We start from the raw sequence: 24,825 nt of genomic DNA, 5'->3' as shown, positions 1-24,825 counted from the left end.
GCAAGCTGGGAACTTCAATCCATGTCCTCTTAGTCCCACAATGCTGTCAAAAGAGTTGTTCAGCGTCTTGGACTCCCAACTGACCCCCCCTAAAAGAGCACACACCCTCAGGAGGGAAATGGCCTTAAATGCCACTCATACCTCTCTAGGTCTTAGTCATGGCCCAGCAATTAGTTCTCTGATGCCTTCAAGTGGACTTTTAGAATATTTTGTTCAGCTGTTCTAGTTGTCCTCAGTGGGAGCATTGGTCTAAATCACTTAGTCTGCCATTATTAACTCTTAATGTGCTTAATTCTTTAAATGTCAAAAACATACAGAAAAACAAAATCATGTTCTTTGAAAGTCCTATTAAAAATACATCATATACTTTCAAACCTTCTTAAACAGAAATTGCCCATAATTCCATTTTCCATTGAAGACTCAGGACCCCATTATAAATATCCCCTTCTGGAAGTGAAACAGTGATTCCCCTAAGAACTGGGGTATGTCATCTGCTTTGCTTCTACCCCAAATAACTTGAGATTGCTTTAATTTTTTAGTTCTCAGATCTACTTTTTATCATTGTGTCTTTGCCACCTGTTTGCTGTCAGCCTTGTTGCTGTCAATACGAATAACCTTAACAGCCTTTTATTCTTTTAGTACATATGCGGATTATATAACCAAGCCTGCTAGAATACTGTGTAAGGTTGAAGTAGATAGGCTCTGATTTAGGTAGGGGAAAAATTGATGAGTGAAGCTCTAACATTTATTTGTCAGACACTTGTCAGACAATTGTCAGGTGTACCCTTAGTCTGCTCAATAGTTTTTTGATCTCAGTTCTGAGTCCAGATGGTAGAGGTTGTCAAGTATATGGGCTCTCGATAAGTAAAGTGTTGCTGTACTTGTTCTGATTTATGTACCCCCACTGACAGTGGGGAGCCTGAGGCCACAAGCATTGCCCTAAAGTAGCCCAAGGGCTTTGGCCAGACCTAGGCCGCCCTCTCTTTGTTTCCTAGGCCCCACCCTGTCTCCTGGCCAAGCAGACTCAAGAAATCCTGGCAGAGAATGATATTCCCTGCTGCCCTGCGGAGATGACCACTTCATGGAGAGCAGAGAGAGGAAGGAGGAGAAAAACGAAAAGAAAGGTCCTCTTTCAGGCTTAAGATGATGTGGAGTGGCTGCCCCATGGCCTGCCAAAAGCTGACTCACCAGGCTGGGACGAGGCACACTACAGGTGCACTCAGGCCATCAGACAATAGGCGCCTGTTGCAAACAGCCCCACACCCCAGACAGACCACCAGGGTGAGGCAGAGGCAGCCCCAGAGGGAGCATGAGGGCTGGAAGAGTGGGCAGCAGAGTCTCTGGTCTGGAAGCTGTCACTCTCCGGCCTTCCCAGGGCCTGGCTCTGAGCACTCACAACCATGAAGACCTGGTGATTTCATGACTAAGGAGTAGGAGCACTGGACCACTGGTCTGGAGATCTGGAGCAGCCTCTAATGTGGGCCTCTTTCCTCATCTCTCAGCTAGAAAGTACCAGTTCTAACTGCTGCTAGTACACTCTGTGATGCTGGGGAAGGCACACACCTTTTCCGAACCTCACTTTACTCCTCGCTGGGTGAATCCTGCACCTGTGGTATCTCTTTAAATCTTTACTGTACTTTGAAGTAAGTGCCATTATTAGTCCCATTTTACAGATGAGGAAACTGAGGCACAGATGATCCAACACGCATAACTGAGAGCTAGATTTCAAAGCTAGGGCTGTGTGAGCCTAGAGCCCATGCAGCTACTCAAGTAGACTAGGACCCAGAAGCCTGCATATTGGCACACCCAAGGCCTGGTCTGGGAGTCTGACAGAGGCAACTAGGGTGGGCTGGTCAAGAGGCTTCCTGGAGGGGGTGGGGTTGAACAGCTCCTGGCATGGGCATGGGCAGTGTGGAAGGTGAGGGCTGGTGGGGTTGGGGTGAGTCGGGATTCCTAGCTGACTCCTGCATGCAGCAGTTTGGGGGTAGGGGTGGATAGACTGGGTGTGGGGCAGGCTGATCGCTGCTCTGCCCATTGCTAGCTGCATGTACTTGGGCAAGTTCCAGAGATATTATAGGCTTTGGTGTTCTCACCTGTAGAATAGGAATAATAATACTGACCTCACAAGACTGGAAATATAATAACATTTAATTCACAAAGAGATTTGACCTTCTCTTCTCTGGGCTGAGTCTTCACTTTTCTCATCTTTCCTGAGGCCTCTGTGGCCTAGTGCTGATGTCTCTGACGTCCTCTGTGGCCCAAACCATCCCTCCTCATCAGCGTCAACTCCCTGAGTAGGCCCAGCTCTTTCTCACCTGTGTCCCCCTCCTTGCCTCTTCTTCCCTGTGGGACCTAATGCAGCCTGTGCTCTCTGACTCCTCTGCCAGTGGGACCCCTGCCCAGGACCCTCCGGAAGCTCTTTCTCTGCCTTCACCCCACTGGTGAGAGATGAGGTGTAAATGGTGTATGGAGACATGTGTTTGAGGCCTGGCTCCATCTCACTTGCTGGTTGGGTCAGCCACCAGCCCTCACTGAAGTTTCCTGTCTGTAAAACATGGCTATTTGTGGGCCCACTCTCACAGGGGGCTCTAGGGTGAGCTGAAATGGTTTGAGTCCATGGCTACATTCCTGGGGAAGGAGGATGGATGAGACTAGGCAGGTGAGGATAGAGGGAGAGCCTGGCTGCCTCTCTCCTCTTGCTGCCATCTACCTCCCTCCCTCCTCCGGTCCAGAGCTCCCAGGGTTCTTTGTCTGCAGAAAGAAAACATCTGCCCTCCTGTGTCAGAGGACAGGGTCTCGATAAGGAATGAGGTGAGCAAATCCAGCCTGCATGTTAATCCTTCCTGGCTCTGAGCTGGCAAGGCTTGGGGCCAGCCAGGCGAGGGAGATGGGCAGGGTGAGGGCCCAGGCCCAGGACCAGTCATGTCTAGACCTCCAGCTATCAAGGCGGCAGATGATTAGCCAATTAGCCCGGAGAAAACCAGGTCTGGCTCCTAGGGGCTCTGCGCTGCATCTCCCATGAGAGCAAGGGCTTCTGGGACTCCTGATTTAATTGAATAAGGACAGCTGTGGGGCCATAACAAGAGGAGGGGAACTTCCTGTCTGCCATTTACAAGGGAGGAGACAGCAGAGCTGGGGCCCTGCACTCAGTACCCCAGCCTGGCCTCCTGGATGTGAGTCCTATAATGACAGAGAGGCTTGGCACAGACACTGCTTGGTAATGGCCAGCTGCTGTCATTATCATTGCTGTTATTGTTTCTACCATGCATTGAGCATCTATGTTGTGACATTATCTCTACGAAGTCCTATTATTAACCTCATTTTAAGAATGGGAAAAAGTTGAGCAGAGATTAAAACCCCGGTCTCCCAAATCGGATCTCCTTAAAACATTGTACTTTGCTATGCTTGTGTCTCTCTAAGTCACCTGAAGCCCTTGTTTAAAATGCAGATTTCCTAACTCACCCCAGGCCAGCTCAGTCGGGCTTTCTAGCAGGGAGGGTGAGGGGCAATCCCAGGCATCTGTGTTCTTTATAACCCCAACTACCACCACCACCATCACAGCTGACTATGATGCAGGAGATCTATGGATGTGACTCAGAAACGGGTAGAAGCTGTGAAGAGAGCACAAACCCCTTTGCCTCCTTCACTCCAGTGCACCCTCTAAGCTGCATGGGTCAGGGAGTCTGACTCCTTTGTGGAGAGGAGTGGGGTGCAGTTCCTCTCAACCACTTGGCTTTTTCATCCACTGAGGGAAACTCAGTGGCTCTGGCCTCCCTCCAGAGGCACAGCAATGGCAAGGTCGAGTGGGCAGCATTCCCAGCTGAGGGGCTCACCTTCATCATCTTGGGGTCAGCCTGGCAGCTCTGGCCTCATGAATCCCTTCCTGCATCCATGACAGGAAAGGCCCAGAGAGGCCCTTGGCTGGTGCCAGGCCATCCAGATCCCAGGAGAAGGGCCCTCAGGCCAACGGGTTCCCACGCTTGGGCCACCCGTGCCCACAGGCAGCTTAGTTGGGTCTGTTTCTCATCCGCTTCTCTGGGCCTTGAGGAAACCAAGGCTTGGGGCCGGCCAGAAGCTTTGTGGTTTTGGAAGGAAAAGGAGGCCAAGTCCTCAAGTTCCTGGGCCTCCACATTCACAAACCTACACAGGCATATGCACAAACACACACACACACACACACACACACACACACACATACACACACACACGGAGGGGTGAATGGGCAGGCAGATGTTCATGCATATAAGCACCTACATCCACACACACTCCAGGGGCAGGGCTGCAGGCCTGAGAGGGAGCCCTGGGCTCAGGGGTGGCCTGTTAGATCTTGGCAACCAGAGAGACAGGATGATCTTGGTCTGAGAAGGTCTCACCCTAGCTGGTCCCACCTTTTCCCAGCTCTGTCTCTTCCTCTTCAGGCTGTTTGGCCCCGGGACAGGGGAGACCATCAGCTTTGGCATCGGCTCCGGAAGTTTCTCCCTTTCCTACCTGCCACAGAAGGGCTTTGAGGCCGATAGGGGAGGCTCATGAGGTGTGAGGAGCCTCCATGGTGAAGCTCCCTCCATCCCCTGTCCCCGTAAGACCCTGAATCGTGGTCCCAACACAATGAAGACCAGAACTGGTGCCCGAGGAGCACTCATCTCACCAATGCTTGCTCTTGCTGAGTAGAGTCAGAAAGGCACAGGTCAGACCTGTCAGCCTCAGACATAAACGTCAGACCTGAACTGTCTCCCGAGAGGTGCCTCCCTCCCTGGTTAACTTCAGGGCTGGCTCTCACATCTGTGGTTATTATTCAGACTTGGATAGGGACTAGATGCTGTGGTCCTGGTGCTCTGGGCCAGGAGATGAGGGCATCAGGGGCCTAAGGCCTGGGACACAGGCCTCGTCATCTGGCCCTGCCTCTGCTGTGACCTGAGCTGACCTGGGAACATGTCATTCCACCCCAGCTTCCCCTTCCCCACTTGGATTTTGGGACATATGGGCTACAACCAGCTTTGGGAGCTCTTGGAAGGCTGGGGCCGTGCTATGCCTGACATTGTACACCCAGGGCCAGCACAGTGCCAGGCACACCATAGGTGCTCAACATACACTGAGTGTGCAAATGCACCATATTTGTCCCTAATTACTTTCTTTCTATATATTCAGCTTCTTCCTGCCTTCCTATGTCTCAGATCTTAGACATCTCCCATCACTTCTGAGCCGTGCTTAGGACCCCTAGGGAGGGGCATAACTTGAGCTTCCAAGGCCCATCAGGGTCAAATCCCCAAACAATCCCTGAGATGAGGGCTGTTTCTTACTAGCCTCTCTGGGCCTTGAGGAAACTGAGGCTTGAGACTGACCAGCAGGATATTTGCTTGACTGAAGAAAAATTTCCTCAGAGGGGGCAGGGGAGGCCTTGGGGGTTGGCAGCTCCCTCCTGGTTCATGGTTATTACAGGCATAACCCTGCTCAGGCCTCCCCTAGCGTTGGCCGCCTGCCAACCCCCAGCGCCCACTTCCCCTCCTGGTCTGGGAGCTGCCAGCTCCAGGAGTCGGGTGCTGGACCCATTCAGTGCCCAATGCTGAGGAGGTTTCGGGCCCTGCCTGCCAGAGGCTGCCAGTCTGGCCTGGGAGATGCCCAGTCTCCATAGAGAGAGGGGCCACAGGCATCAGGCCACGCTCAAGAGCGCTGGGATAGGCAGGGCGGGAATCCAAGTCACTTCTCTCCAAGATGGCCAGCTCCGCCCGGGCAGGGAGCTGGTGTGCAGCAAGACTGTCCGGGGCCCTCTGGTGGGGCAAGGGGCAGGGGGTGGGCCTGAGGGGGCGTAGAGAAACACCCCAGTCGCTAGGCTATGAGGTGAGCAGCACTGGGTTTAAGAGTTCAGCCCCTGGCCCAGACCATCTGGGTTTGTATTCAGGTCTGACCCTCAGAAGTTATGAACGGCTCCATGCCCAGGTGCCACCCTCTGCGAGGCGGGAGGGTAACAGCCCTACCTGCTAGAGCTGTTTGGAGAATGAAATAAGTTACTCCACGTGAAACACTTAGAATGGTGCCTGGTACATCATAACCCCTGCAGTCAGTGTTAGATATTATTGTTAGACCAGGGTAAGTTGAAACTCGCCTGAAAGGGGCTTAATTGACTGTCGACATCTGGTTTCCTCCACTGGACACTGAGGTCCCTAGGCCCTTTATGTCTTAGGCCTGGCACGTCTCAGGGACACGAAAATATGTGTTGAAAGGATGGACGCATGAACAAGGGAGTCGGGGGAGCAGGGCATCAAGAGAAGCTCTGGGAAGAGGTGGCCCCAGGGGAGGCCCCCACACAGGAGGGGAAGTGGCGGGAGCTGAGGTGAAGGCAGGGAGGCCTCTGGCTGGGCCCACGTCCACCAGGGCTTCGGGCAGGCTCTTGAGGAGAGGGGTCTTGGGGAGAGGAAGGCTGGAAGGAGACCGAGCTGGCCAGAGCCTACCACACAAGCTGGACAGCCATGTCCCCTGTTCTGGGTCATGAGGGTCTAGGGCCAGGTGAGAGCTGCCACTGAGGAGAGGATGGATGGGAAAGGGCCTGGAGAGGCCCCCGGGGCCGTCAGTGTGAACCCTTCCTCCTCCTGCGCCCAGGCCGGCTATGGAGCCTGGCATTCTGTTGTCGCTGAGAGAAAAACCAGCCTCGCTCCACAGACACGGCAACCAGTGGAGAAACAAGTGTTGGAGATAAGAGGATTTAAAACAAGTAAACTCCCCTGCAGGAGATGTAAAAGAAAAACAGATTGTGAGCTTTCTCTCTCACCGTTCTTTCTGTGTCTTTCCCTTTCTCTTCTTTCTTTTGCTTCTTCCAACCCTCACTCACTCTCTTCCTTCCTTCCATCCTTCTTTATCTCCCTTCCTCCTTTTTTCCTTTCTTTTTCATCCTATCTTCATGAACAACCAAACCTCCAGATTTTAAAAAACCTACAGCAGCAAAACAAAACACGACAAAACAACAACAAAACAAAACCACACACACACAAGCAAACAAAAAAACCACCTATCATCAAGGTATCATCCTAGTCTGACCACTGAGGGTCTATAGAATGTTTTATTGACCCAAAGATCCCCCAGGGTCAACCTGTCAATTTCTCTTCTTTAAAGTGTCCCATCCTCAAGGAGCCCCAGCCTGAGGGGAGACACAGCCCTGTCCTCAGGGAGCCCCAGTCTTCAGGGAGACACAGCCCCATCCTCAGGGAGCCCCAATCTGCAGGGAGACACAGCCCCACCCTCAGGGACCCCAGCCTAAGGAGAGACACAGCCCTGTCCTTGGGGAACCCCAGTCTGAGGGGAGACACAGCCCCATCCTCAGGGAGCCCCAGCCTGAGTGGAGGACACAACACTGACTAAGGGAGCTGCAGTCTCAGGGAGTAGGTAAATAAATGTACCACAGATATTAGCCTACTTCTTCACTTTGAGAGCAGAGGTGTAGGAGTGTGTGTGTGGGGGGCAGGGCTGCAGAATCTGTATTACAGAGGGGTGAGTGAGAACATGTGGGAAAAGCTGGCATCCCAGAGCTTTCCGAGTTCCCAGGAGCATTCTACCCCTTCTCTGTGCTCAGCCCAACTCTGACCAATAGGAGGGTCACTGGAATCCAGTGTCCCCTTAAGGCAAGGGAGAGTCAGAGCTGAGAAGCAGGCGGCTGGGAGAGGCCCGCTGAGTGGCTCTCTGGAGTCTGTCAGGTGAGTGACCACAGGAGATAAGCTGTCTATGATAAGGGGCATTCAGGCCACCTCATTTTAGCTTGTCCGTGACAAGCTGAGCCTCGCACGGCCCAGAGCATGTGTGTGGTGAGGAGGTGGGGGAGTGGGCACAATTCAGGAGCCGTCTCCAGAGGTCAGCACTAATGGGACAAGAAGTCTTAAGATGCAGCCCCCAGCTCCTGTTTGTCCCTATCCAGGTGGAGACATTTCCATTCCCAGACATAGGAGCTTCTCCCAGGGAACCTCATGAAGACAGAGATGGTGGGGACTGAATGGGGGGGTGTCTCGATTCCCAGCAGCTTCTTGGCTCCTCTGCTGTCACATAATCAGTGAGTGATGACTGGCAGCAGGCACTTCCCTGGGTGCTCTTGACATTCCCGTGACCTACAGGCAAGGGAGAGGGTTCCAGAGAAGGAGGAGTGGGAGCCTCAGGGTGGCAGAGTGGCTGTGGCCTTTCCACAAAAGGAGGATCTCTTCCGGGAACCAGATGATGAGCTTAGCTTGTCTGCAGGCATTAAAACACCAACACTGGGAACATCCTCATGGTATGTAAAGGGAAACTGAGGCACAAGGCAGGGAAGGGACTTGCCTAGGGTCACACAACATTGAGAGTTCCCAATTCTCTTCTCTACTCCAGGCTGTACGAGATCTGCAAAAGTCAAACTTCCACTCTGCCTCCATACTTGTATGTGTGCGTGGGTGCTTGTGGGGCATGCTCGGCAGGCCCAGCAGCTGAGGCCAGGCCCTGGAAGGAGTCCCAAGCTCAGCCCTGTCCAGGCACCCAACCCTCTGGTCAGGCGATGTGACCCACATGGAATGGCCCCCAGACTTCCAGGCGACACTCACTCATCACCTCGTTAGCTGCTTTCCTACTGAGAGTCCACAGGCAGTTCTCCTTCTGGCCTGGCACTCCCCTAGGCCCCGCAAGAGCATCCAAGACATGGCTCAGTTTTCTCCAGTCTTCAGGCACTGTCGAGCTCACAGCAATTTTAGCCACAGCACAATCTGGTTGGGCAGGCAGATTAGCTCTCACGAAAGCCACGTTCAGCCTTTACCAGGCAATGCCACAGAAAAACACTGGGATTTTCTGCAGCTGGACATGGTCCCTGCCCTGTCTTCCCTTCCAGAAGCGGGAGCAGAAGGCATGGGGACAGCCAGCTGTGAGGAGAGAAAGCAAAGATATAAGTCACAATGCCTGAGATGAATTTGGGTAGGAACATGCTTTATGCAAATAGGCACACACATCTACCCCAGGGTGGGGAGGACATGTGCAAATCAAGGCTCCAGAAAGTCCTGACAATGAGGCTCCCTGTTCTAATGAGTGGGACACTAGGATCCCTCAAGTTTGTCTGTGGACTGAACTTGGGTCTTCCTACTATATCTGAGACACAGCCCTCCCATTCTGGCGCCTCCCTTGCCCTTGTGGACCTCCTTCTGCCTGCCTCGTGTGGTCTGGCCCTGGGAAGCCTCCCAAAGGGTCTGGCTTTCCTCTACTTGCCCCAGGCTGCACCTCAAATGCCCTCCAGCTGCTAACCACTGCCCCGTTCAAATGGGAAGGATCTGTGGCTGCCTGTCCCCCACAACTGCAGTCTCTACCTCAAGCTTGGCCTGTCTCCACAAAAGGGGCCAAAAGAGTGGTCTGCCCATCAGAAACACTGCCTCCCCCATGGGCCCTCATGCTGTTCCCAGCAATGCCCAGCATACAGAAGATGCTCAGTAGCAGATGAATGGTGGAATCAACGAATGAATAAATGAAAATTCAAAGGCACGATCATTTCCCTCTGGGGACTGTCAATGCTCCCCTTCTGCTTCTTGCTCACCAGTTTTCACAGCTGTCTGTGCATTGAAGCTGGAGTATTCGTACTCTTTCTTCGTGTCCTCAACCAGCCTGAGTGCACCACAGGCAGGAGTGTGCCCTCTTCATCTCCCTGGTCCTGACACCTTTCATGGAGGGCTCTCAAATAGTGGTTGCCTCAATGAACACAGAAGCATGTGGTTTACAGATGTCTGTTTACTTCTCTGTTCCCCTCAGTGGACCAAGAGTACCTAGAGATGAGGACAGGCTCTCTCCTCTCTAGAGCTCAGGATGCACTCAATACGTGGGGGATGGACGGATGGATGGATGGATGGATGGATGGATGGATGGATGGGTGATTGGGAACCACAGGGGCCCTGACCTGATGTTAGGCCTGTCTTTCCCATTAGACTCCGAGGGGCCTGACTCCCTGGGCAAATAAAGGATGGAGTGAAGGGTGAACAAGTGAAAGAGTGAGTGAATAAATAAATGGCTGAGTCCTGTCTGGGATCAAAGGAGACCGTTGGCTGCCTTACGCAGCCCATGTTGCCCAACACACTGACACGCATGTGTTGTGCTCAGATCTGAGCTCCTCTCCAAATTTCTGCCCTGGGGCCTGGTCCAGCCTCCAGGCCTTTGCTCCCACCACACCCCTCCTCACTCCCACGCCCTCCCACATCCCTGACTCCCCTTGGTTCTTCCAGTGGCCTTGACCCCACCTGCCCAGCTGTCTGACCCAGAGCCCCACAGCCTCAGGGTGGGTTTTTTTCCTGCTTTCCTTTAAGAATAGGGGTCACGTTTAACTCAAGAGCCAGCCACACCTTCTGGGCTTGAGTTCCTTCTGCCACCTTCCTGAGGGAAAGAGACTGAATTTTCTCCAGTCTCAGTTTCCAAATCTGTAAAATGGGGATAATACCGATGATTAAGAGAATTAGATGGGGTTCCAAATTGACCCTGGGATGGAGCAGCTGCTTGGTCAGTACTTGGTGCATGGGGCTTTCCTTCCCTTCTTGTCCCCGCCACTGCCCCTGCAGGCCTCATGGGGCTTCTGTCTGTGGGGCCCAGGAGAGCCACCTTGCTTTCTAGAACAGGACTAGAAGCGACTCGCTCCTCTTGAAAGTGAGGATCCTGGAGCTGGGATGGCAGGAGGGCCCAGCCTGTGAGCCAGAAGGACCATTAAGCCAGAAAAGAGGAGATCCTGAGAGAGGATCAGAACTGGAACATATGCATGAAGGGTTCTAAAGGAACAACTAGAACTGAAATGAGAGAGCTCGAGATTAGACAAGAGACAGGACTTCCCCATTCTGAAGGCTGAGGAAGAAGCACAGTGGCTGAGGCAAAGCCAGGGCACTCCTGCCTGAAGTTGAAGGGAGCTTTGAAAAAAAAAATTATAATTTGAATTTATCTCCAGCTTCCAAGTTTTTAGAGTGTTTGCCTGATCCTCATCTTATTTCATCCTTATAACAAACCCTTAATGTGTGGCAACAGTGTAGCTTATCAAATAGATAGATAAGCATTGTGACTCCCCTCCTACATGGGGAGGAAAAAAGGTTCTGAGGCCTAAGGTTGCCCAGCAGAGGCACAAGGAACTGGGCTAGAGCTCTCTCATGAAGCTCTTAGGTTGTCAGCTTTCCCTCACCCTTTCCGAGGCTTAGCAAGTCTGCATATTTTTTGACGCTGAAGTTTGATGCTAATTTCTTTGCTTGGCTAAGAAAAACACGAGAAATGAAGAGTAGGGGAGGTTTTCCCATACTGTGGAGTGCAGTGACACCCAGGTGTGTGCCTTTACCTCTGGTACTAGACTAGGACCAGCTTGGAGGTGAACAGAGAGGATTTTCTCCCAGGCAGGGAAAGGAAGACTCAGGACAGCCAGAGGGGGCTGGGCCTCAGATGGAGCCTGGGCTTCCATCAAAGGCAGACGCCTCTTTGACCCCATCTGGGCAGCAGTCCTTTCGTCCGTGTGGCCAGACCCCCCTCTCCATTCTCACCCCAGCCCCGGCCCATCTCTGCCTTGCCCCAAGCCTGCAAACAATGCGTTGTTGACAATCGTGGGGGCTAAACACTCGATAACACGGTCCCCACCACAGCAGACATCCTAACAGCGGGCAGGGCTGTGTGCTGTGACGGGAAGATGCTTTGAATACATCATTCTGTCAACTGAGTTTATTATTCTTTTGCTCAAGATAAACTGCAGCCGCCAACGAGGGGCTGTATAAATTCCAGGCTCAGAAGTCGAGCAGGCCCCACTCCTTGTTAAACACTCACTCACACACACGCACATTCACATAAATCGTGCTGAGAAAATACCACCCCGCCGCGGCCCCACAGGTCTCTTCGGGGCTCAGTAGCCTCTATCTCATGGGGTGGTCCTGGGAGCAGCTGCAGACATCAGGGGACCCAAGGCCTGGGCCTGCCCTTGGGCCACTTCCCTGGCTAAGGCTGAGCTGACTCCTTCTGGGGGCCAGAGAAGGTCTCCCCACAGGAGCCAGCTGTCCTTGGGGTCAAACCCAGCCTCTTGACTCCTGGACTTCTGTCTATCCAAGGCTACAGTCCTGCTGTGGGTGGCCAGGGCACCCACATGCCTGTACTGGGGAGGAGACAGGCTTCAGACCCAAGGGTGGCCATGGAACAGAAAGTGAACCCCAGTGAAGTCTTCAGAGACAATCAGCATCCATCCTGGGGGAAAGGGGACTCCATGAACCACCACTGCCCACCCCCACACAGAGGAAATGCCGAGGAATCCATGTCACTTCCACATGCTGGCAGAAAGGGGCATCTCCACGCCCAGAGCACACACCCAGCCCGTTCTTCCCAGGGCCCAAGCTATTCGCAGCTGCAGGGGAGGGGTCCTGTGGGCTTCATTTCCATCTCGCCCTGTCTCACTTGGGGACTTAGAATGAAAACAAAAACAAAACTGAAAAACACCATGCTGGGCGCAGGGACCGTAATAGGAAGCAGCAGAGTGCAGTGGAAGGAGCATGAGCTTTGGCCCTAGACCTGGGTTTCACTCTCCAACTAACAGTTTCCTCCTCCATAAAATGGGGAGTACAATTTCTACTATGCGGTACTGTCATGGGCCTGCAGTCAAAGCGAGGCTGTTTTACCGTTCACAATGCCCCTTTCCCAGTCACAGCCAGGCCAGGAAGTTCAGCATTATTATCCCCATTTTATGGAGGAGGAAACTAAAACACCAAGCAGAGTCCAAGGCATCTCAGGTTGTAAGCTCGTTTCAGTTCTAACTCCAAAGCATGATTATCACAATAATTTAGCACCTGCTGTATGCAGGGGAACGCACTGGATGTTGAGGGAACATATAGGAGTTTGACTTGGCCCTGAGGATACCCCCTACCTCCCACCCTAGAGTATGGACTCTGTCAGGGCAGGGGGCTGTCTTCTCCAGGGCATGTCTCCCCTTGCCTAAGAGGACCTCAGCACTAGCAGGCGAAGCCCTGGATTTGGGATTCAAGGACTGGTCTCACCACAGTTTTAGCCACATGACCCCAGGCAGGTTGCTTGATCTCTCTGAACCTCATTTTTCTCTTCCCCTTAGGGTGGAGTCTCCGGGAGGATGGCTGTGGAAGAACTGCCAATTCCAAGGGCCTGGTCAGGCAGAGGCATTCTTACTATTCCAAAACAAGGAAAGGGTAAAACCAAGATGTCAAAGGCCCCGCTGGTGTGGAAGCAAATTTCTGCCTCCACCAGCTGGATGGCTGCTACCCCTGTACAGGTTCCTAACACTGGAACAGGGATCAACCCAAGTGCTTGGGGCTCACCATGTCCTCCTCCCCAGCCAGGACAGCAAGTGGAAGACACAGGCGAGCTGAAAGAGGCTCACTGTGTGCCCAGCCCTAACCCCCTGCCTCATTGGCACCAGGCACCCAGGACTCCTCAGAACTCAGAGCCAGGGTTTGGGCAGCCTCCTCGTAGTGCTCCTTGAATAGGATTTATAGGACTTGCACCAGGAGCTTTGGGCCATTCCAGGGGACATTGCTTTGGGGGAAAAAAGGACCCAATATGGGTATCTAGAACTTGAAGCATGTCGTCAGAGATCGGAGCTCCAGGGAATTGGAAAATTATGCTTCAGAGGTTCCCAAGGGAATGATGGCCTGAATCCCACTCCTCCCCCAAAATAAAGCTCCTTTGACCTCTTTCGTATTTTGGGCTCCACTTAGTACCTAATTGAATGAAAGATTTTACTGCTAAAAAGCAACCGAGAAGTTCACTGATGGAGTTCAACTCTCTTATTTCACAAACGAAGAGACTGGGCTTCAGAGAGGACTGGCGAATGCAGTGGCTCAGAGATCAGAGCAGAGCTAGAGTTAGGCTCCTGGCCAAGTGCTTGCTCTTCCAACCTCGCCTGTCTACAGCCATTCCCCAGTGGGTCACCAAAGCTGGTGTCATAAAGATTCTGTCAAAATCACCTAGGCAGCTTGTCAGAATTTGAAACTTGGTCATCTGGATTCTTTGTAAGTTCCCCGGGTGATTCTAATCCATACCTGGGACTGGGAACCAGTGCTCTGGGCCAAGAAGGATGCTCCCAAATCGCTAACATAGAACCACATGCCTGGAGTGTGACCTTGGGTGGATTACTTTTCTCTGTATCTCAATTTCCTCATTAGCTAGAGAATAACAAGAGTGCCTGGTACTCAGCATTGCTGTAATGTCAAATGAGTTGGCCTATGACTGGCACAGGCCTCATCTTCTACACTGTGCCACTCTGCTCCTTCCTCACTGTGCTCCAGCCACAGCAGCTCTCTGGCTGTCCTTGAACTCAGCAAGCACGTTCCTGTCCCAAGGCTTTTGCAATTACTATTCCCTCTGCCTGTCATTTTTGTCCTCCAAATAGTCCTATGCCCCCTCCCATGTCTCCTTCAGGGGCCTGCCCAAATGTCACTGAATCAGAGGCTTTCCGCTCTCCACCCTTTCTCTTCACTTACTTTTTACCACCTCACCTATTTTCTTTTCTTCTCTGTTTTGTTGTTTTGTTGTTGTTGTTGTTGTTGTTGAGACAGGGCCTCCCTCTGTCGCCCAGGCTGAAGTGCAGTGGCACGAACATGGCTCACTCCTCCCTCAACCTCCCGAGCTTAAGCGATCCTTCCACCTCAGCCTCCTGAGTAGCTGAGATGACAGGTGTGTGCCACCATGCCCAGCTAATTTCTTGATTTTTTGTAGGGATGGGGTCTCCCTATGTTGCCCAGGCTGGCATTGAACTCCTAGACTCAAGCCATCCTCGCACCTCGGCCTGCCTATTTTCTGTGTACTCACTTCTTGGTTTATTGTCTGTGTCTCCCACTAAAATGGGAGCTCCCTGAGTGCAGGGACTTTGCCTTGCTTACTGCCATATCCTCAGCACCTAGAAAAGTGCCTGGCACTCAATAAATATTATTGATTGAATGAATGAGAAGAAAGTACTTAAGTTGTGCCAGGTACAAAGTAGGCATCTACTATATGCAGTTATTATTGTCATTCACATTTTCACCTACATTGGGATGTGGTAAAGGCCAAATATGGGGCACAGCTCCACCCCTAAGGGTGGTGGAAGAAGGAAAGGTGTACCTCACAGGCTATAGGAGGCCCACATGAGCTGTGTGACCTCAGGTAGCTGTGTCCATATCCCTGAGTCCCGGTCTCCTGTTCCATCCAATGGGACAGCCATGCTTGTTCTGTGTCTCGCCATTGCTGAGAAGGGTATTCAGGCAGCCATGTCTCTGCTGTTATTTTGGCTCTTAACTCAGAGGCAGATGGGACTCAAGGACGGATACCTGAGTGAGGTCACAACTTAGGGATCTAATGTCACCCTGACACGAGAGCAAAGTGGTCACCTCCTTAGTGATGCAGACACAAGGACAGCCCCCTCACCAACAGGGGACATGCTGAGAGCTCCTGACACGTGAAAACATGCCTCACATGGCTCCCTCTCTGCCACCTCCTCACACTCAGCTTCTGTTGATTGTACTGAGGCAGCTGGGAGATCGCTGTCGGCAAGGTGCAGGCCCTGCTGGGCTAAAACACACAAGGCAGCCCCCAGTGCCACCGTCAGCCCAGCTCTGGCAGTCTGTCCACCCTGGAGGCCAACTTGCACTGGGAGCTGGCTTCTGGGATATTCTCCCAACCCACCCAAGGGCCAGGGACTTCCATGGAGCCTATAAGTGCCTTCAGGGTGGTATACGAAGCTGATAGGTCTGGTCCTTCCCTTCCCAGCCTGCTCATCCCTGCCCCCTCCCCTCACTACATGTATTCAGATGACACAAATGAATAAGTGAATGAATGGATGAGCAACTTTTCCAGACTTCACCCCAAGCCCTAGGCCTCAGGCTACATCTGCCTCTTGCTTGCTGTAGGAAAAGGCAGCAGTTCAACACAGAAGATGTTTGTGAGGGTTTGACTATGGGATGCTCAGTTCCTCCCCAGGGAGCTCATGGACTCCGGGGGACATGGCACATAAGGACTTGCTGGGCTAGAGCTTGCTCATGTTGGAAGGCACAGAAGAGCTGCCTGGAGAAGGGGTTCTGGGAGGAGGGGATACTAATACTAAAGCAAGGTTCCTAGGCTGCATCTTTTAGTTTTTTCTTTTTGTTTTGTTTTTTGTTGTTGTTTTTTGTTTTTCGTTTTTTTGAGACGGAGTTTTGCTCATGTTGCCCTCCATGTGCAATGGCGCGATCTCGGCTCACTGCAACCTCCACCTCCCGGGTTCAAGCGATTCTCCTGCCTCAGCCTCCTGAGTAGCTGGGATTGCAGGAGCCCACCACCACACTCGGCTAGTTTTTGTATTTTTAGTAGAGACGTGGTTTCACCATGTTGGTCAGGCTGGTCTCAAACTCCTGATCTCAAGTGATCCACCAGCCTTGGCCTCCCAAAGTGCTGGGATTACAGGTGTGAGCCACCGTGCCCGGCCCCTAAGACTGAACCTAAGTTGGCCAGGTGAACAAGGGGAAGGGCAGTCCGGGCAATGGGAACAGCTCGCTCAAAGGTGTGGAGGTATGAAATAGCCTGGGGTTTGCTGGAAAGGACCAATGATTCAGGGTAGCTTGGGCTGCAAGTAGAAGGAAGTGGCTGGAGAAAAAAGCACGGCCCAGGCTTGGGGAGCCTGTGGAGCCTACTAGGCCCTGGGACTTTTGGACAGGGGTGCCTTTGATGGGGTTCAAGCAGGGGAAGAGTGTGATCAGCCACAATTTTTAGCAAGGTCCTGTGGCTGCAAAGGAGCAAAGAGATCTGAGGGGCCAAGACTGGAGGTCTCTACAGTAGTCCAAGGGAGTAATGCTGGGGTCTGAGCGAAGGCAGTGCTAGTCGGGATTCCCTCCCGATCGCCTCTGCCTCTCCTTGCTTGTTGAGAATACCTACTTCTCTCCATCAGTTTGGTCCAGTCCCTCAGTCAACAGAATGTAGGTGTGAGGAGGTGGTGATGGGGATGAAAGTGAGGCCCAGAGAGAAGATTTGGGGGCCCCAGAGCAGCTGAGGGCCACAGTTCAAAAGGCAGCTGCAATATCTCTCCACTAGAGCCAGGTCTTACCCAAAGAAAGCTTCCTACAAGGCAATTGCCTCAGTTCTGTGCTTTTCCTTTCAAGAGAGAACTGAGTTCATTGAACTTAAGGGCAAATCTATATCCTTGTCCTTTCTTTGCAGAGATAATAAAGTTAATGGGATTATTTCCTGTGTACAAGAATAGGGCTGCTAAGAAAACATTGTCAAGTAAATGCTGTTTGCAAAGGCTAAACTGAAAGGCCAAATCTTCCACCAGGAGGAAGTAAAGGGTGTGTCTACACGGGCTCACGGGGAGCAGTGCCACCAGTGACTTGATTTGCCTGAGACTGACTTCCCCTCTGCTTCACCGGGCTCTGATTCATGCAGATGGCTAGAGGGCAGGGTTGCCAGGCCCATTTCCCTGGTCTCCAAGGTACCAGGTGAGCTGGCTAGTTGGTTAGTCTTTGGAAAAACAGAGTTCACCTTAGACTAAGAGAAGGCCCCAGCTGAACTTTAAAGATTGTCTGGATAACTTTCCTCCTTGTAAATGGAGAAACTGAGGATGCGGAGGGGGAGCTGGTCTCAGGTCACATGACCAGTTGTAGCAAGGCCTGGTGGGGAAGTAGAGACACAGAGATGGAAAATAACTTGCCTGGGTCATATAGCCAGCAGTTGGGTTGTAGGGGGGAAGCTGAGGCCCAGAGAGGAGAAATGGCTTGCCAGGCTCCTACAGCCTCCCAGTGGCAAAGTTTGGGATGGAACCAGGTCTTCAACTCCTAGGAGACAGCTTGCTCTGTCATCAGCCCAAGCTCCCATCCTCCCCTACTACAGAGACGGCTCAGGGAATCACTCAGGTGTATTCCTGTTTGCCGAGTCTCAATCATCCCTGACTGTGTCGCCACACCTCGAGCCCAGCAACCCTTTTAGATCTTATCAGTCCAGCCCCTATGAGGGCTCCTCACGTGGACCATCCTCAAACAGCATCCGTGTGCACAGGTGCACCAGGTGGGTGGAGCTGAGGGACATTCCAGCAGAGGGTAGACAATGGCTGGGTTAAGAGGGCTATCTTCTTTTCACACCTCCTGATTTCCTTGAGTTTGTAAATCATTATCCCAGGCTACACAAAGCAGGTATTGAGTAGGCCTTGTTGCTGTCCCTAGACACAGTAGACAGAGGCCACTCCGAGTGGCTCCTAGTGGCGGGGGGCAGCTCCCGGGCCCTCTGTCCCCCTTCCCGGCACTGGGATTGGGTTACCCCATCTAATCCCTGCTCCTCCATCCACCCTCTTTGTGGCCATTGTAATTTATAATCGAGAGGCATGATGCAACCTGCTAATTACATTGCTTGATTTTGAACACATCCCGGCTTCTCTGACTCAGGCGGCAGAGGGAGGAGGGAGCAGCAGGCGCTGCTTTGTGGCTTATCAGGCTTGGGTTATTCCACTCACACCCTCTCATGCCTCCCCCCAACCCTCAGCCTTTGTTAACCAGGGCTTGCATCACCTCCTGCTTTCCATTTCCCCGGAATTTTTTTAACGGCTTTTTTTTTATGAGCTGCTCTGTCTTGTTAGCTAATGAATGATTGTGGAGCAGTGATGGGGATCGCTTTGTGCCTCTATTAAATGTTACATGATTGCAATTATGAGTTAACAAGGGACAGCTAATAAAAAAAATAATCTATTTTGAGGCCTGGGGCAGACATGAGACTCGCTGCCTGGTTCCCAAGCTGAATAAATCAGAGCCCCAAGGACCACAGGCTGGACGAGGAATCGACCGAGGAAAGGATGGACGTTTGCAGGTCCCCGGGAAGCGCGGCAGGCTGGAGGGCAACAGCTTCATCCCCAGGCCTCTTTTGAAGCCTTCCCACCTATGTGGAGTGTTTTAGGCTCCCAGAGGCAGGTGTCTGGACTATCACAGTTGCTTCTTATCAGCCCTTCCTGTGTCCACCATTGCCCTGCAACCCCTTCTCCACATCACAGTGGAGTGATCTTTTAAAGATAGAGCTGGTCAGGCCGGGCACGGTGGCTCACGCCTGTAATCCCAGCACTTTGGGAGACCGAGGCAGGTGGATCACCTGAGGTCGGGAGTCGAGACCAGCCTGACCAACATGGAGAAACCCCATCTGTACTAAAAATACAAAATGAGCCGGGTGTGGTGGCGCACGCCTTTAATCCCAGCTACTCAGGAAGCTGAGGCAGAAGAATCACTTGAACCCAGGAGGTGGAGGTTGTGGTGAGCCGAGATCGTGCCACTGCACTCTAGCCTGGGCAACAGAGTGAGACTCCATCTCAAAAAAAAAAAAAAAGAAGATAGAGCTGGTCATGCCACTATCCTGCTCAAACTCCCTCAGTGGCAGCCCAAGATCTCCCTTCAGCACTGGCTCCTCATTTCAACTTCATGCTTTCAATTAGCCTATTCCCACATCCTCACTGTCCTCACCAAAACTAGTTCAGAATGGGGTTAGGCCCTGGAAAACAAGTGACCCCAAGAATCAGGCAGATGAGGGCCTGAGCAGTAGAATGGTGATGAGCTGAGTGTGGAGGGCCTGCAGCTGTTGTCCCTTTCCTCAGACTTACTCAGCAGTGCCCAGGACCATCACACCCAGAAATGGAGTGACGCTGACCTCTTCGTCACTGATCCAAGGAGGCAAAAGACAGGCACCTGGCTTGGGATCTTCCCTGAAGGGTTGCTGTTGTGTGTCCCAAGGCTTTGCAGGTGCTGGGTATACAGGAGGTGCTTAATAGATACACAGGCCGGACGCAGTGGCTCACGCCTATAATCCCAGCACTTTGGGAGGCTGAGGCAGGCAGATCTCTTGAGCCCAGGAGTTCGAGACCAGCCTGGGCAGCACGGCAAAACCTCATCTCTACAAAAAATTAGCCAGGCATGGTGGTGCGAGCCTGTAGTCCCAGCTACTCGAGACGCTGAGGTGGGAGGATCACTTGGGCTACGGGAGGCAGAGGTTGCAGTAAGTCGAGATGGTGCCACTGCACTCCAGCCTGGGCGACAGAGCAAGACCCTGGATCAAGAAACAAATAAACAAATAAATAAATACACAATAATAAGAAGAAGCATGCATGATGTCCAAACAGTGGGTGCCACAACCCATCAAGAAGACCCCAACTCGTGCCCTGAAGACTGAGCCTGGACCTGTTAACACAGCACACGGTGTTAACCACAATCCCGGGACATGGCAGAGTTTGTGTATGGGGCGTCCGGTGGGCAGAGAAACAAGACTCCTGGGTCCTGGTGTAGGCAAGTCACATCCCCTCCCTGGGCCTTGGTTTCCCCACTTGGGCTTGCACTCCATTCCAGTTGAGCTTCTTACGCTTCTGCTTACAGCCACCCCCACTGACCCCCTGCCCCGCCGAGACTGTGAGCTCCTTCAGTAAAAGCTATCTTTTCTGGCTCGGCTTCTAGTAGGCACTCAGTAAATGGTGAATTAACGAGCAGCTAAAACTAAATGCTCTCCAGGCACCCACTCTGTGCCAGGCTTGTTACCAGGTGCTTCCTATATGTTACCAGGAATCCTCCCACCAACACTGCTGGGAGGACTTCTGAATCCCCATGTTACAGCTGAGGCAACTGAGGTTCAGAGAGCTTAGCAATGATGTGCCTTAGGATGGGGCTGGGATGAGCAGTCTATATGTGGGCTCTAAGCCAGAAGCTGAGTATAAGCTGAAGTCCTCCTTCCCGGGCTTCTCATGCTCTGGCAACAGCAGGCAGGTGACCACGGGGTGGGAGCCGGCCAGGGCGACCACAGGCTGGGCGACAGAAGGAACACCGTCTGAAGACACCACTGAAGAGCATCTTCAAACACTGCGGCTGCACTGCGGGCTCTGGGAAACCACAGCCGCCCACATCTCAGCAGTCTGGGCCAGCCCAGGGCAGGAGGCCGAGCTGGCAGAGGCAGGGCTGCGGAGGGGCATGCAGGCGGCAGGAAGTGGGGTGGGGGCAGGGCTGTGCCAATCACCCACAGAAAGCCTCAGCCAGTGGCAGAACCAGCTACATAATTTGTGGGGCCCTTGTTCAAAAACTGTTAAGAATTTCAAGACGGCAACAGCAGAGTGTTAAGCCAAGCACAGGGTCTTTCTAAGTGTGGGCCGTTCAGGTTTCGTGTCCATGAAGCCATTCTTGGCCAGGGTCATTTACCCAGCTCCCAGTTTAAGGGTTTGTGGCATGGCATTTGGGTAGTAGAAGGCGCCATACAAAAGGTCTGGCCCCCTCCCCGCCTGGGCAAGGCCCATGTAACCCATTGTGTGGAGCATGGCAGGGCTGGCAGAGGGGCTGCGCAGCAAGAAGGCTTGGGCTGTTCCCCTCTGTGTGGGAGTGTGGACAAGCCAGGCCTGGACACTGCTATGTTGGCAGGTGCTGGGTATACAGGGAGTGCTTAATAAATACACAATGATCCAAAGGGATGGCAGGCATTTGGGGTTTGGCCTGCCCGGTGACTCACACCCACCCGGCTGCCCAGGGACACTACGTGGTTGCTTCCATGGTGAGTATGTCGGGGAAGGGACCGGAGCCCTCCCAAAGGCATCCAGAGTCCCTGGCTGGGCCACTCCCAGACCTCAAACCTGCAAGAGAGCCCACGTCTGCAGGTACCCAGAACTAGGCAGGGAGCTGGGCCTCCAGAGGCGGGTACACCATCAGCAGAGAGGAGCTTGGAGCCTGCTGGGAGCCTGCATCCCCAGGCCAACTTTTGGCAGTGGGGATGACTGTACTCACTGACTCATGGCCCTCTCTGCCCCACACATGGCACTCTTAAGGGGCTGGGCCGAGCCTCAATTTAAGTCTTTCACTACAGTACCCAGCATAAGGCCCTGCATACAGTGGGCACTCGGGAAATACTGGTTGAGTGAATACATGTAATCATGAGAGAGCACCCACTCTGCTTTGCTTGTCCTAGGACTGACCCCGAGTTTGGGGGTCAAGGAAAGGAAGTGCAGTATGCTCCTGGTAAGCAAGGTAGCAAGACATGCTCCATCCACACAAGGGTTTGGGTGTGTGCAGTGTGGGACGTTTGTGTGTCTGAGTGTGGGAAGGTGCCTGGGGAATGTACATGTATAGGGTGACCTCATGGATAGGCGTACATGCGTATGTATCCACGTGCTCATGTATGTGTGCAGGCGCTTAGATAGATAGGACGTGCACGCATGTGGGTGGGGCAGGTACAGGAGATGTACACACACATGCATATTTGTGTGAGAGGTGCCCATTCCCACCAGGTATGTGCCATGTGCCTGCATGCACAGGGGCACATGTATGTGGGAGTGTGCCACAGATGCCCGGACATCCTCTGCTTCCTGGACTCCATCTCCCAGCTGGTTGCCCTGCCCCCTCCATGGGCCAGCCCTGCGCAGGCAGCGCTCGTGGCCTGGCCAGGGAGAGAGGAGAGTCGTGATGCTGGGAGTGCAGGCTGCCTTGTGAAGTCTGGACCTGCGCCTCACTCATAGTGTGTCCTTAGATGACTTATGCAGACTCACCACGCCTCAGTTTTGTTGTCTGTAAAAGGGGCTCATGACAGCACTCCTTTTATAAGGTATACAAAACAGTGCCTGGTACCTAGTAAGGACTCCAAAAGGTTGTTTGTTATTTTCTCTTGGCTGGGGGCTGCTGCTGCAACAGACACCAGGACGAGTACTGGAAGCAGTGCTGGAGCCTATGTCCATCCATCACCATAAACATGATGGACAAGTTCCAAACACCGGCTGCCCTAGCCAGGGAGGCAAGAAGGGGTGGGGAGGGGACACTGTGGCCCCAGTAGTTCCCCTCAGACTCCTCAGAGGGCACTGAGGAGCCTGCTGAGGAATCCCCAGATTTGGAACATACCTGTGGTGGGGCATGGCAAGGTGGGGGTATAAAGTCTCTCATGCCAGGCAGCTCTTTAAAAACAGTCCTCTTGGGACAGCGAAGCTGGGCCCCAGAGGCCACCCACTCACTGCAGGGACTGGCGGCCGCGCATGGCAAGGTAAATCACCCAAGACTGCCGTCTGGAATGTGATCACTGTGAAAGGTAACACGCATGTTACTGCTACATAAACACAGTTAAACTATTTACGATGGCCACAGCCTGGTGACCCCAGGAAGACCCTGCCATGTGGGAGTGGGTCGACCTGCCCCACCTCTGCTGTCTGCAAAGGTTAGGAGATCGATTTATTTTGGCAAGAGCCCGATCCTTGGCACCGTCCCACTGCCACCCAACCCAGGGGCCCAGTATTGGCCCAGGAGAAGCATCTTCTCACAGGCCAGAAAAATGTGTTTTGAACTTACGGTAAGGAGAAGAACAACGAAATCCCCTCTTTGTTTTATTTTGGCCCTTGTTCTTCGGCACAGTTTGCAGAGGACCCTTTTTTAAGTAAGCAGGAGTTTCTGTCACTACATCCCAAGGGTGCACTGGGGCAGATCTCCGTGTGGGATCCTGAGGGAGAAGCTGAGGTGGAAGACCCAACCCTACTCCCGGGACCCCCCGGGTCCATGGGGAGAACCAGCCTCTGCCCTCGGGAGCCTCAGGTCTGAAGACGGAGGCCCATTCCTGCCCAGTCCAAGAGTGGAGGCCAGTCTCTGGGCCCCAGGAGCCCCTCCTTGCTTCCAAGGGTGAACTAGACCCACCGAAGGCTCAGGGCCTCAGGTAACCTCTGGGAACAGGCTGCACTGGAGGGCAAAGACCCTAAGGGAGGCCATGGCTAGTCAGGCCTCCCAAAAGGCTGAGTACCCTCCCGGCCTCATTTCAGGGCAGGGCCCTTCTCTGTCCTGGTACACATCCTAGCTTTGGTCTATTTTCTTCCCCCAGAAGTCCCATCACCTGCTGTTTATTTTTTTAAAGGTACCAGGGTCACCAAAGAGCTCACCAAGGCTAATAAATGCTAGAGGGATTTACTCTCAGGGCATGGAAGCCCTGCCCGCCTCTGTGCCTTCTCCCTGGCCCTTCCAGGCTTCCTTTCTGCCCCTCTCCCCGGGCTCCCTCCCCTCCAGCCTCGACATGTTGCTCAGCCCAGCGTCCTGTGTTTGCTCTTACAATTCCCATACCTGGAGTGGCCCCTTGCCTTTTCCTGCCCATTCACACACTGAGCACCTGCAGGATGGGCCTTCCTGTGCCACTCAGTCAGCGACGCCTCATCTCTCCTGTCGCCTACACAGCCCAACTCAGGTCATCCTGATTGATCTGTTCGTGTCCCTCAGATCTTCAGCTAATAGTCACCACCATTAATTGAAGGCTTCACCACGCCTGACCCTAGGCTTCTTTGCTCACGTACATTCTCTCCAATTCCCCACCACCACCCAGTATGGGGGAATTTTGGCCCGTTACAGCAAAGAGGAAACCAAGGCTGAGACAGATTGGGTTACTTTCTGGGGCCACTCAGCTGTGAGTGGGACAGGGATTCTGGCATCCAGGTTCTGTCCCCTGCACCACCTTGCCCACTTGACTGCATCCCCCAGGAACAAGGAGGAACACATCCTCTATTAGGTAAGATCAGAAACGGGCCTGGTGGATTTTTTTTTAATAAATAATATTGGAAATTAGGCACATGAGTGAGGTTTTCATTCAGAGAGGTCGCCTGAGAAGGGAGGAGCTGCTAATCAATCTGCTTTGTTCAGTGAATTTTGTTGTTGTTGTTGTTGTTTTGAAACAGAGTCTCACTCTGTCACCCAGGCTGGACTGCAGTGGCGCGATCTCAGCTCACTGCAACCTCTGCCTCCTGGGTTCAAGTGATTCTCCCCTCTCAGCCTCCTGAGTAGCTGGGATTACAGGCATGTGCCACCACCCCCAGCTAATTTTTGTATTTTTAGTAGAGACGGGGTTTCGCCATGTTGGTCAGGCTGGTCTCAAACTCCTGACCTCGTGATGCACCCGTCTCAGCCTCCC

General features: G+C 53.0%; 1 long non-coding RNA gene across 1 annotated transcript in view, besides 3 other annotated features; it reads right to left on the bottom strand.

Annotated features, from left to right (window-relative positions):
* Nucleotides 724–1,249: an enhancer, noted in NCBI's record as "H3K4me1 hESC enhancer chr6:43911713-43912238 (GRCh37/hg19 assembly coordinates)". NCBI's record gives its function as "activates a minimal SCP1, AML or CMV promoter by ChIP-STARR-seq in primed H9 embryonic stem cells {active_cell/tissue: H9 hESC(primed)}" and the evidence as "EXISTENCE:reporter gene assay evidence [ECO:0000049][PMID:30033119]".
* Nucleotides 7,018–24,825, bottom strand: part of LINC01512 (long intergenic non-protein coding RNA 1512) — a 47,180-nt gene continuing 29,372 nt past the window's right edge. The window contains exon 2 of the long non-coding RNA NR_024478.1: nucleotides 7,018–8,861. This is a non-coding gene — a long non-coding RNA (long intergenic non-protein coding RNA 1512). The remainder of the gene's footprint in view (nucleotides 8,862–24,825) is intronic.
* Nucleotides 18,938–19,671: an enhancer, noted in NCBI's record as "H3K27ac-H3K4me1 hESC enhancer chr6:43893291-43894024 (GRCh37/hg19 assembly coordinates)". NCBI's record gives its function as "activates a minimal SCP1, AML or CMV promoter by ChIP-STARR-seq in naive H9 embryonic stem cells {active_cell/tissue: H9 hESC(naive)}" and the evidence as "EXISTENCE:reporter gene assay evidence [ECO:0000049][PMID:30033119]".
* Nucleotides 20,696–20,755: an enhancer, noted in NCBI's record as "active region_24622". NCBI's record gives its function as "activates an Ori minimal core promoter by ATAC-STARR-seq in GM12878 lymphoblastoid cells {active_cell/tissue: GM12878}" and the evidence as "EXISTENCE:reporter gene assay evidence [ECO:0000049][PMID:35858748]".

The sequence above is a fragment of the Homo sapiens genome, chromosome 6, assembly GCF_000001405.40.
Source record: "Homo sapiens chromosome 6, GRCh38.p14 Primary Assembly".
NCBI lineage: Eukaryota > Metazoa > Chordata > Mammalia > Primates > Hominidae > Homo > Homo sapiens.
Note: the sequence above shows the minus strand (reverse complement) of the source record. Positions and strands in the feature narration are given on the sequence as shown.